Source organism: Homo sapiens, chromosome 22, assembly GCF_000001405.40.
Source record: "Homo sapiens chromosome 22, GRCh38.p14 Primary Assembly".
Lineage (NCBI taxonomy): Eukaryota > Metazoa > Chordata > Mammalia > Primates > Hominidae > Homo > Homo sapiens.
Window position 1 is genome coordinate 23,784,502 of NC_000022.11, and position 12,967 is coordinate 23,797,468.

Consider the following 12,967-nt stretch of genomic DNA (forward strand, 5'->3'; position numbering starts at 1 on the left):
TTAACTGGCTCCCCACTTTCCTACTTGTCCCCTCTGTTCATCCTCCAGAGTGGTGGTTTATCTGCTCATGCCACAGCCCAGCCTGCCATACATAGCTGTGGTTTCTGCATCCGTAGGCTCAACTAACCTCGGGTAGAAAAAACAATGTTTAAAAAAAGGATGCGGACGGGCGCAGTGGCTCGTGCCTGTAATCCCAGTTCTTTGGGAGGCCGAGGTGTGTGGATCACCTGAGGTCAGAAGTTTGAGACCAGTCTGGCCAACATGGTGAAAACCCATCTCTACTAAATATACAAAAATTAGTTGGGTGTGGTGGCTCATGCCTGTAATCCCAGCTACTTGGGAGGCTGAGGCAGGAGAATCACTTGAACGTGGAGGCAGAGGTTACAGTGAGCTGAGATAGTGCCATTGCACTCCAGCCTGGGTGACAAGAGCAAAATTCCGTCTAAAAAAATAATAAAGTAAATAAATAGGCTGGGTGCAGTGGCTCATGCCTGTAATCCCAGCACTTTGGGAGGCTGAGGCCAGCAGATCACGAGGTCGGGAGATCGAGACCATCCTGGCTAACACCATGAAACCCCGTCTCTACTAAAAATACAAAAAATTAGCCAGGCGTGGTGGCGGGCGCCTGTAGTCCCAGCTACTCGGAAGGCTGAGGCAGGAGAATGGCGTGAACCCAGGAGGCGGTGCTTGCAGTGAGCCCAGATCATGCCACTGCACTCCAGCCTGGACGACAGAGCAAGACTCTGTCTCAATAAAATAAGTAAATAAATAAATAAATAAATAAATAAATAAGGGATGGTTACCTCTGTACTGAACATGTACGGACTTTTTTCCCTATCATTGTTCCCTAAACAATAGTATAACAACTATTTATATAACATTTGCATTGTATTAGGTAGTATAAGGAATCTAGAGATGATTTAAGGTATACAGGAAAGTGTGTGTAGGTTATATGCAAGTATGACACCATTTTATATAATGGACTTGAGCATCTGTGGACTTTATTATCTGCAGGGGGTCCTGGAACCAATTCCCATGGATACTGAGGGATGACTGTACTTTGGTTTCCCACCACTGTGAGGATACAGAACAAAGCAACTTCAGTCACTGCCCTTCCCAACTCTCCAGTGTCTCCTTGCCCTACCTTCCAGCCCCATGTGTGTCTTCGTAATAGCATAGTTGCATTTTTTTTTTTTTTAAGAGAGGCAGGGTCTCCCTTTGTTGCCCAGGCTGCAGTGCAGTGGTGCAATCAGCTCACTATAACCTTGAACTCCTGGGCTCAAGGGATCTTCCCCTCTCCACTTCCCAAGTAGCTGGGGCTACAGGTGCACACCGCCATGCCACACCCAGCTTATTTATTTTAGAATTTTTGTAGAGACAGGGTCTTGCTGTCTTGTCCAGTCTGGTCTCAAACTCCTGGCTTCAAGTGATCCTCCCTGCCTTGGCCTCCTAAAGAGTTGGGATTACAAGGCCGGGCGCAGTGGCTCACACCTGTAATCCCAGCACTTTGGGAGGCCGAGGGGGGCGGATCACGAGGTCAGGAGATCGAGACCATCCTGGCTAACATGGTGAAACCCTGTCTCTACTAAAAATACAAAAAATTAGCTGGGCGTGGTGGCGGGTGCCTGTAGTCCCAGCTACTTGGGAGGCTGAGGCAGGAGACTCCAGCCTCAAAAAAAAAAAAAAGAGTTGGGATTACAGGCATGAGCCGCTGAGCCCAGCCACAGCTGCAATTTCATTAGATTGAACGGTGTGAAATCATCAGTAGTGGGCCACTGTTTTACTCCCTGCATTATTCAATCATGATTGCTTTCAGACTTTCATTAGTTTCACTAGCTTCGCGCTGTAAGAGCCAAGAGGCAGAGCCACAGGGCTGGGCTGCCTGGTTTCACTCCCCACTGCAGGGCTCGGTTAAGCAGAGTGTAGGCTAAGAGAGGAATGGAGAAGGTGGAAGGTGTCTCTCCCTTCCAACGCTCATCTGATGCACCAGCCAAACCAAATACCACCTGGGCCTTTGAACATTGCCAAGCCTCATCCGCTGTTGTCATTTTGCCCACCTCCACAGCTGCAGGGACAGCCGTAGGCCCGGAACTGGGATATCTCTTCCTAGGGGCCTGCCTATCTGCTCAGCTGCACTGCGTTTTAGGGGTGGGGAAGCTAAGGCACGAGATTGGGGTCCCAAAGCATGCCCAGACCACCCAGGCTTCCAGATACTAGGTCCTCCTCCTTCAGGCCTCACTTCGTTGCTTTTCCCCTGGGCTCAGTTCCAGTCCTGGCTGTAAGACTGGGAAAGCCACTGCTTGAGTCAGGACCTCATTGGCTATTTTTGTCCGTGAGAAGTCCTCTACACCACGACTTGGGAGGCAGCCTGGGAGAAAGAGAAATTAGTCGTGGCTCCTTTAAGGGGTCCGCGGAGGCGCGCCCGGCCTTTTGTTTGAGCGGCGGCGCGCGCGTCAGCGTCAACGCCAGCGCCTGCGCACTGAGGGCGGCCTGGTCGTCGTCTGCGGCGGCGGCGGCGGCTGAGGAGCCCGGCTGAGGCGCCAGTACCCGGCCCGGTCCGCATTTCGCCTTCCGGCTTCGGTTTCCCTCGGCCCAGCACGCCCCGGCCCCGCCCCAGCCCTCCTGATCCCTCGCAGCCCGGCTCCGGCCGCCCGCCTCTGCCGCCGCAATGATGATGATGGCGCTGAGCAAGACCTTCGGGCAGAAGCCCGTGAAGTTCCAGCTGGAGGACGACGGCGAGTTCTACATGATCGGCTCCGAGGTAGCCCGGGGCGCGTTCTCGCCCTCCCCGGGCTCGGCCCCGCGGGAGCCCCGGGGCGGGCCCATGCGCCGAGAGCGCGCGTCTCCATTCATCGGGGCGGGCGGGCGCGCGCGCGCGCGCTCGGGGCTGTGGGGCGTGGCCTAGTGGGCGTGTCGGGTGTGGCCCCCGCCCCCTCATCGACCTGGGATTTCCTTACTTATTTCGCCGAGGTCCGCCGCCTTCAGTGCTGCCAAGATTTTGGCGCCGCGAGGGGCCCCAGTGGTTCCGCGCTGGGTTGGTTTCCAGTCAGACGCAAAGAAACGGGATATTGAGTTAGCCCCTGCGACGCTTGGGGGACTGCACTGCTGCCTTTGACCCTTTTTAGATGTCGTAAATTTCACGTGCACCCCTCCCCGTATTGCTACTTGTGGGAACCTCAAATGGCAGGCTGGAAACCCTGGACTTAGTGAGGGCTCATCCCCATTGTGTTTGTTGCCTCTTAGGTGAGCAGTGGAGGTCTTTTGACCTTTGTTTACCGGTGAAGAAACAGATTGGAGGAAGATGTTTGCTTTTGGGTGAATAAGGGCCCCATGCCTAAGCTAGATCTTTCAGCAGTTCTGAAGCGATTGACACTTTCCATATCTGTGAACTGATTCTGAATTATTACAGGGGAAAGAGCCTAAGGATGTTTAACCCTTAACTAGAGTGGCTGCATTTTGTTGCATCAACTGGATGACTGACTTCAGGAAAACTCTACTGGCCTTTGAATGGGTGTTTGTTCCAAGTCTATTAGGTTCTTGTTTTTTGTTTTTTATAGAGACAGGGTCTGGCTATGTTGCGCAGGCAGGTCTCCAACTCCTGGGCTCAAGCAGTCTGCCCGTCTGGGTCTCCCAAAGTGCTAGGATTACAGGCATGAGCCACCACACCCGGCCATATATTAGGTTTTTACAGATTGTCTCAAACTAGCCTTTTTTGCTCCAAAGGCAGTCCCCAGCTAGTATATGTTACCTTTTTAAAAAAATTATGGATATACAGTTCAGATGTACAAATGTCAAGCAGTAGAATCTCATGTAAGGAAGTAAGTGCCAATCCTGGAGAATTAAAGCTATCATGAAATGCCAAGAGTTTCTTCTCCTTATAGCAGTTTTTAGTATCATATTCCAGCATTTTATTCGTACTTTATTTTCTTTTATTTTTGAAAAAAGATCTCACTTTGTGCAGTGGTGTGATCTCGGCTCACTGCAGCCTTGACCTCCTGGGCTCAAGCGATCCTCCTGCCTCAGCCTCCCAAGTACCTGGGACTACAGGTGTGCACCACCGTGCCCGACTAATTTTTGTATTTTTTGTAGAGACAGGGTTTTGCCATGTTGCCCAGGCTGGTCTTGAACTCCTGGGCTCAAGTGATCCTTGCACCTCAGCCTCTCAAAGTGCTGGAATGACAGGTGTGAGCTACTGCACTCACACTCAGCGCATTCATACTTTTTAAACTTGTGGGTTTTATCCTTCACAATTGAGCATAGCATGAATGAATGAAGCCTCAAGATGGTCACACTGAGTCCCATGGATGAGACTAAGGTCAATAGCATCAGAACTTTAGTGTTAGCATTTTCCACCATTTTTTTTTTCTGGACGAGGTTTGACTCTATCACCCAGGCTGGAGTGTAGTGGTGTAATCTCGGCTCACTGCAACCTCCGCCTCCCAGGCTCAAGCCGTCCTCCCACCTCAGTCTCCCAAGTAGCTGGGACTACACGCACACACCACCACACCCGGCTAATTTTTATATTTTTAGTAAAGATGGGGTTTTACCATATTGTCCAGGCTGGTCTTAAACTTGTGAGCTCAAGTGATCTGCCCGCCTCGGCCTCCCAAAGTGCTCGATTATAGGCGTGAGCCACTGTGCCTGGCCTCCACTAATTTTTATAAAACAAAAAATATAGGATTCAATAAAATTTTCACGTTGTCACTTAAATTACAACTGTTCAAAGATGCCAGTGCTGGGGAGGTAGAGCCAGTGCCTGTCCATCTGCCACAGTTCAGAATGGTCCTCATTGGCCAGTAGGCACCTGCCTAACTGCAGAATGCAAAAGGTGTCAAATTTCAGCCTGTGATACTAGGCGAGTTGTTTACCTGATCTAATGGGTGTAAAAGTAATCAGTTTGGCTCTAAGTAGGTGACACTTCAAAAGAAAGCTTTCATTTATTAGTTGGAGCAAATTGAGAAGCTGTGCGTGGCCAAGTGGGAAGAACCTTGGGAGGCCTGGTTCCAGCCCTGCTCTGCCTTGCTGTCGTGTTTCTCATGTGTATAATGTGATGCTTAGACTAGATGGTCTCCAAGATCTTCCCCAAAACACATTTTAGTTTCTAGAAAGCTAATTACAGTCTTGTCTTTCAGCCCCTTGACTCCTGGGCCTCCCAGTAAGAATAATCTTCCTGAGACCCAGGCTGTAAGAGACTCAGTTGGAGAGGCAGTTTGTTCTTTTGGGCCTGACTTAATCATCAGACCTTCGGAGTTTAGGGAAGAGTTCAAGGTCAGAGCTCTATTGAAATTCAGTAGCTCCAGTGATAGTAGTGGATGGACGGTCTCAGCCCACTGCCCTGTGGAAAACAGGCACTGTATTCAGAGAGGTGGGCCAGCCATAGCAACATACCCAGTGCCTCCATGCGCCATCTGTGGAGCTGTCTTGGGAAGGCATCTGCATTTACTAAGAGTGTGTGTCACTGTTCTGCCATTAACAGACAGCTGTATTTACCAAGCCGGAGTCATGGAGCTTTGAGGACCCTAACAGATCCCCAAGTCCAGCACCTTGATTTTATATTCAGGAAACCTGGGTCCCAAGAGGGTGAAGGCTGGTTCAGAGGAAAGCCAGGAAGGCAAGCCCAGTTTCCTAAGTTCTGAAGGGGCTTTGGGGGGCATCTAGGAGACTCAGAGCCCTGCAGGGCCTGCAAGGTAGTCATAGGGGGGAGTATTGTCAATTTCTTTTAAAAAACCTAATGGAAACTCTACATTTACCATGATACTGGATGATACTGACACACAAGCCAAATAACATAGAGGGGTCTGTGCCCTCTATGTGGAAAGCGAGTGACTTGCTGTGTCTGCTCTTCTCTCAGCGTTCAGTAGCCCTGGTTGTTGATTACAGTCACTGCTGAAAATGGAGAAACATTTTATTTAATACTATGCCTGGGTCTCACACCTATAATCCTAGCACTTTGGGAGGCCCAGGCAGGAGAATCACTTGAACCCAGGAGTTTAAGACCAGCCTGGGCAACATAGTGAGACTCTTGTCTCTACAGATTTTTATTTTTATTTTTTTTAATTAGGCCGGGTATGTGGCTCACACCCGTAATCCCAGCACTTTGGGAGGCCGAGGTGGGCAGATCGCTTGAGCCCAGGAGTTTGAGACCAGCCTGGGCAACATGGTGAAACTCCGTCTCTACAAAAAATACAAAAATTAGCCGGTTGTGGTGGCAAGCAACTATAGTCCCAGCTACTCAGGAGGCTGAGGCAGGAGGATCGCTTGAGCCGAGGAGTTCGAGGCTGCAGTGAGCTATGATCGATCGCACCACTGCAATCGAGCCTGGGTGACAGAGCGAGACCCTGTCTCAAAAATAATAATAAAAATTAAAAATAAATTTAAAAATGCAAAATATATACTATGTTGCGTAGATAAAATGGGAAACATAATAGAAGTGGTCCTTCATGGGGGTGAAGTTCAGAGTTGCTGAGCATTTGGCAGATGAGTAAAGGGTACCCAGAAAATGGGAAGTGATCCCAGGTTACAGATGGAGCCAGCACCTGGCACCCAGTCTATTGGCCATCCCCTGCAATGTGACTCCGAAGTGATCATACTTGAAAAGTCAACGAGACAATAGGGTACCCTCATAAAAACTTTAGGTCTAGATTTATTTTCCTTAAGGAAGTCACACTTTCAGTATTTGCTACAAGCAAACTGAAGCCATTGTTTGAGTCAGTGATGATTTATATAGCAGTCTGGTGATTGCCTTGTAAACCTTTTGGAAAATTCCTTTGGTATCCCTGGTTTGGGTTTTGTTACTAAACAAAGCAACACAGGCCATGGGGGAAATTATCTGGCATCTGTCTAAAATTAAAAGACCTTTTTGGTGTTTATTACATTGTAAAGATATCAAAGTCTTGTCCTTAAGATAAAAGAAGGTCAAGGAGGCCTTGCATTTCTGGAAAGTGCCAGAGATCCTTAGTCCAAAATCAAAATCACCACGAACTTCTTGCTAAGCTCTGGGGGCCTCCCACTCAGGCATCTGCCCAGGCCTTTCGGAACTTGGTTCTGTTGTCAGGATGCACATATGCAGGCCAGATGTGCACTGCTGGTGAACCCTTCATATCAGCAGAATGTGTTTTAATGCTGCCGAAAGCGTGGCGCCTGGGGGCCACCTCAAGGCCTGTTTGTCTGTTGCTTGATGCAGTCTGCGCCAGGACCCTCCCCTTCCCTGTGGTGCTGCGACCCTTATAATGAGCCTTCTTGCTTTACTCATAGGTGGGAAACTACCTCCGTATGTTCCGAGGTTCTCTGTACAAGAGATACCCCTCACTCTGGAGGCGACTAGCCACTGTGGAAGAGAGGAAGAAAATAGTTGCATCGTCACATGGTAAAAAAACAAAACCTAACACTAAGGGTGCGTCTTCACGAGGGTTTGTAAACCTGTTTCAAAACCACTCGCTTATGTCATGAAGATAAAACGTTTTCACTCCAGAGTGTCTTCACTGCAGCCTTGGCCTTAGTCGGGCAGGGAGCATCCCGGGGTGGGCCGCCCTGTGAGCACTCCAGGCAAGGAAGTGGCTCCAGGGAGCCATTGGTGGTCCACTGTCAGTTATTTCCAGCAGGGCCATTGGGTATGTGAGCGGGCCGGGGCCAGGACACTAGCAGGTGCTGTGAAGACATGTTGGTCTCAAAACGTTTTAGGAATGCTGCGATGCTCTGCCATCTGTCGTGGGTGTGTCGCCATAATCATCTTCCATGCAGCCCAAGTGGCGGGTGGTGGTCCCAGCTCCCACTCCCCTCTGGGGCTTTCACTGCTTGCTTCCTGGAGCACATCCATCCCATAGCACTTCATCCTGGCAGCCAGTGTGCTAGAGCCCATGTGCATGTCCCTGCTCCTGGTGGCCTGCGTGTGCCTGGGGCTTGCTAGGTACACTAGTGAAACTAGTGGGCTTTGGGTCACGGCAGCTCTGTGCAGGGTGAAAGGGTGCTCTTCAGACACTCTGGGGGCTCTGTGGGAGACACTCCCATGGAGACATTTGGGTGTGGACACAGCATGTCCTTGGGCAGGTGGCAAAACTGCTTCCCACGTGGCAATGGCGCCTTGTAGAGAGCTGCCCTGGGCCTGGGTGTGTCTGTGAGCATGTGCGCGATGCTTCGTAGTCTGCCCTGTTTGTTTGTGTCTGTAGGTGCTGCTGTGGTTTTGTCCACTGCGGGAAAGTAGTGGTTCTTTTAATGCAGGAGCCGGAGCTTCTTTTTGATCTGCTGCTATGACATTTCCACTCACTTGCTTAAAACAGTTTCCTTTTTGTTCCCCCTCCTCCCCTAGCAGAGCATCAGTCGCTAACACAGTGAGTCCCCAGCTTTGCTTCCCCCTCCGCAAGTCCCTGGGCTAAGTCTTGGGAGATACCTTCCCCATAAGCGATTGATTTCTCCAGGAGAAGCCAGACTGGGCCCACAGACAGGTAGCTCTTGACGGAGATTCCCCGGAAGAGCTAGGGGTCGAGCTGCCTAGAATCTGTCCTGCTTCCCAGGCAGCACGTGTGGACCGGCTCGGGGATAGAAATTCGTGTTTGGTGTGAAGCAGCTCTTTCCAACTCTCTGGGCTCTTGTTTTAAAAGAAAAGTATTCTTCATCTTCCATTCCATCTCCCCACCTTGCATCGTGTTGTGGATTGTGGTGGTGTCAGACCTCTTCCCACTGGGGTGTTACTCTGGGAGCTTTCTTTTCCCCTGAGTGAGGACCAAGAGAATATGTTCTGGAGTCGAGTGTCCCCGCTGGTCGTGCTGTATTGTAGTTGCTGGTGCTGCCCTGAGCACTTCCCTCTGCCCCGAGCCAGTGCTCCTGGGGCAGATTAGTCCAAATCAGTCCCATTGGAGGCTCTACCCAGCAGGACTTGTAAGTAAAGCACTCAGTCCAGATTGCCCTTTTGGAAGAGGCCAGCATTCAGCAGTAGTAAGTTTGACACCTTGCTTTTCCCACCTCCCGCATGCGAGGACCTTGATGTGCTGCATCCACTTGGCTGGCTGCTGTGTGCCACCGCCACCAGCAGAGTGACCCAGTGATGTTTGTCTGTTACAGATCACGGATACACGACTCTAGCCACCAGTGTGACCCTGTTAAAAGCCTCGGAAGTGGAAGAGATTCTGGATGGCAACGATGAGAAGTACAAGGCTGTGTCCATCAGCACAGAGCCCCCCACCTACCTCAGGTAATGCGTTCCTGGCCAGGGCATCTCTGGGGACACCTGTGGGGTCTTTTCTGAGACTCAAGAACTGGTTGGGTTGAAGTTAAATTGAAACACTTTTTTTTTTTTTTTTTGAGATGGAATCTTGTTCTTGTCGCCCAGGCTGGAGTGCAGTGGCACGATCTTGGCTCACTGCAACCTCTGCCTCCCAGGTTCAAGCGATTCTCCTGCCTCAACCTCCCAAGTAGCTGGGATTACAGGTGCCTGCCACTATACCTGGCTAGTTTTTTTTTCTTTGAGACAGAGTTTCACTCTTGTTGCCCAGGATGGAGTGCAATGGCGTGATCTCAGCTCACTGCAACTTCTGCCTACTGGGTTCAAGTGATTCTCCTGCCTCAGCCTCCCAGATAGCTGGGATTACAGGCATGCGCCACCACGCCCAGCTAATTTTGTATTTTTGGTAGAGACGAGTCTCTCCATGTTGGTCAGGCTGGTCTCGAAACCCCACCTCAGGTGATCCGCCCGCCTTGGCATCCCAGAGTGCTGGGATTACAGGCGTGAGCCACCGCGCCCGGTCCTGATTTTTGTATTGAAACACTTTTTAACAGTTCCCTCTGTTTTTATACATTTTCTTAGCCAGGTTTCTAAGTTTCTTCTATATCATTGGAATTTCTAAGAAACGTAAGCCAAGTCCTGGATTCCGGAGAACAGTTACAAATGCTTGGAAAGTGGGACTCGTGGGGCACAGTGGCTTATGTTTGTAATCCCAGCGCTTTGGGAGGCCGAGGCATTGCTTGAGGCCAGGAGTTTAAGACCAGCCTGGGGCAACACAGCAAGACCTCATTTCTTAAAAAAACATGTAAGTGGGACCAATTTGTCAGAAAAATCAGTGGCTCACATAAACTCACAAAAGAAACAACAATAGATTTGAATGTATAAAAACTTAGAACCTGGCTGGGCACGGTGGCTCACACCTGTAATCCCAGCAGTTTGGGAGGCCGAGGTGGGCAGATCACCTGAGGTCAGGAGTTAGAGAGCAGCCTCATCCACATGGAGAAACCCCATCTCTACTAAAAATACAAAATTAGCCAGGTGTGGTGGCACATGCCTGTAATCCCAGCTACTCGGGAGCCTGAGGCAGGAGAATTGCTTGAACCCGGGAGGTGGAGATTGCAGTGAGCTGAGGTTGCACCTTTGCACTCCAGACTGGGCAACAAGAGTGAAACTCCACCTCAAAAAAAACAAAAACAAAACAAAACTTAGAACCTTTAGAAGAGTATTTATAGTAACAATTAAAAAACCAAGTAATTGGGAAGTTACGATGTTGTATCTAGAATCTATACATCTAGATTTATACAACAAACTTGGATACCCCAACAAATAGGTAAAAGATGGTCCATACCTTGAAGTACAAGGGAGTAAACAAACATGGAAAGAATTTGCCCTCATGTGTAATTTCAAAAATTCCAAGCATAAGACTGGGCATGGTAGCTTATGCCTGTAATCTCAGCACTTTGGGAAGTCAAGGCAGGAGGATCGCTTGAGCCCACGATTTGACTGTGTTGCCCAGGAGACCAGCCTGAGCAACATAGTGAGACGTTATCTCTACTGAAAGTTAAAAAAATTAGCTGAGTGTGGTGATCACACCACTGTCCTCTAGCCTAGGTAACAGAACGACACTCTTTGTCTCTTAAAAAAAATAAAAAACAGGCCGGGCACGGTGGCTCACGCCTGTAATCCCAGCACTTTGGGAGGCCGAGGCGGGCGGATCACCTGAGGTCAGGAGTTCGAGACCAGCCTGACCAACATGGTGAAGCCTCATCTCTGCTAAACGTACAAAGTTAGCCTCGCATGGTGGTGCATGCCTGTAATCCCAGCTACTCAGGAAGGCTGAGGCAGGAGAATCACTTGGACCCGGGAGGCGGAGGTTGCGGTGAGCCGAGGTTGCGCCATTGCTCTCCAGCCTGGGCAACGAGAGTGAAACTCCATCTCAAAATAATAAAATAAAATAAAAAATAAATAAATAAAAAATAAAAATAAAAATTCCAAGCATAAAACAAAAAACTGGCAACATAAGGAATTGGGGAAGGTGTGATAGAACTGCACTCATGTGTGCTGGAGGTGCTTTTTTTTTTTTTTTTTGAGATGGAGTTTTCACTCTTGTTGCCCAGGCTGGAGTACGGTGGCATGATGTCGGCTCACTGCAACCTCCGCCTCCTGGGTTCAAGCGATTCTCTTGCCTCAGCCTCTGGAGTAGCTGGGATTACTGGAATGCACCACTATGCCTGGCTAATTTTTTTGTATTTTTATTAGAGACGGGGTTTCACCATTGTGCCCAGGCTGGTCTCGAACTCCTGACCTCAGGTAATCCTCCCGCCTCGGCCTCCCAAAGTGGTGGGATTACAGGTGTGAGCCACTGTGCCCAGCCGGGAGTGCCCTTTCTGTAAAGCATCCTGACATCAAACTTTTTTGTTCTCTGGCCCATTAATACCGCCCCTGGGAATTTGTCCCAAAGAAACATTTTCAAAGAACAAAATGAATCAGTAAACCCACTATATGTACAGAGATTCTCTGTAGCATTGTGAATAATACTGGAGAATATGGAGTCGCTTAAGTATCCAGCCTTTAAGGAAAGGCTAGGTTAGTGACGGGTCAGCCACTTGAATGGACAAAGGTGTGACCCATACATGGTATAATTAAGTAGATTCTGCAGTGACCCGAGACGGGTCCTGTGGGTGAGACGTGCAGAATACAAGATTGTACCCATCTACCTTGTGCATTCAGCTCTCAACAAAGTATGCATTTCTCTGCACAAAGCCCAAGGAGCATTAAGAAAAAGGATTATTGTTCAGAGTGATGTGGTTATGGAAAATCTTTTTTATGATTCCCCTGAAAGGTGGCACGCCTCCAGGCTGGCCAGTGTTACAGACGTGTGCTTTGCAGATTCTTTTTCCCCCAAGGGATGTGGTAAGAACATAAGGATGGCTTGGCCTTCCCAGGGAAGTTGCAGAAGGAAATTGTGTACATATGGAGGGCACTTTAATTCTGCACATGTCAGCTGGGAATCTTTTATGGGGCGATAAAACAGTTTCTTGGTGATCATGTCGTGAGGAACAGCTGCAGGAGTGGAATCCCGTTGCCCTGGAGGTCAAGTCTTTAGGGGTGGGGGCTGGCAGAGGTTTGAGGGAAGTGGCTTTGGCTGGCTCCACACTACTCAGTCAGCCCAATAAGGGGACTTATGGCACCCTCCCCATCCTGTCATCGGACAATTTGAGCAGAGGCTGGGTGCCCTCTCTCAGGGATGCTGGGATTGCAATGGAAGGAAGGTTGTTTTTCTTTTTTTTTTTTTTTTTGAGACGGAGTCTCGCTGTCGCCCAGGCTGGAGTGCAGTGGCGCAATCTCGGCTCACTGCAGGCTCCGCCCCCTGGGGTTCACGCCATTCTCCTGCCTCAGCCTCCCGAGTAGCTGGGACTACAGGCGCCCGCCACCTCGCCCGGCTAATTTTTTGTGTTTTTAGTAGAGACGGGGTTTCACCGTGTTAGCCAGGATGGTCTTGATCTCCTGACCTCGTGATCCGCCCGCCTCGGCCTCCCAAAGTGCTGGGATTACAGGCGTGAGCCACCGGGCCTGGCCTGTTTTTTTTTATTATTATTATTTTTTTTGAGACGGAGTTTCGCTCTGTCGCCCAGGCTGGAGTGCAGTGGCGCCATCTTGGCTCACTGCAAGCTCCGCCTCCCAGGTTCACACCATTCTCCTGCCTCAGCCTCCCGAGTAGCTGGAACTACAGGTGTCTGTCACCACGCC

At 49.8% G+C, this 12,967-nt stretch overlaps 1 protein-coding gene across 4 annotated transcripts in view, besides 1 other annotated feature; it reads left to right on the forward strand.

The window, feature by feature from the left end:
• Positions 2,465-12,967, forward strand: part of SMARCB1 (SWI/SNF related BAF chromatin remodeling complex subunit B1) — a 51,044-nt gene continuing 40,541 nt past the window's right edge. For 2 of the 4 annotated variants that reach the window (NM_001362877.2, NM_003073.5), the window contains exons 1-3: positions 2,465-2,761; positions 7,255-7,393; positions 9,058-9,187. In NM_001362877.2, the coding sequence (NP_001349806.1) occupies positions 2,669-2,761; positions 7,255-7,393; positions 9,058-9,187 (362 nt within the window). In that variant the 5' untranslated portion in view covers positions 2,465-2,668. The remainder of the gene's footprint in view (positions 2,762-7,254; positions 7,394-9,057; positions 9,188-12,967) is intronic. The other 2 variants (NM_001317946.2, NM_001007468.3) reach the window with 1 other exon arrangement.
• Positions 7,817-8,317: an enhancer, noted in NCBI's record as "H3K4me1 hESC enhancer chr22:24134505-24135005 (GRCh37/hg19 assembly coordinates)". NCBI's record gives its function as "activates a minimal SCP1, AML or CMV promoter by ChIP-STARR-seq in naive H9 embryonic stem cells {active_cell/tissue: H9 hESC(naive)}" and the evidence as "EXISTENCE:reporter gene assay evidence [ECO:0000049][PMID:30033119]".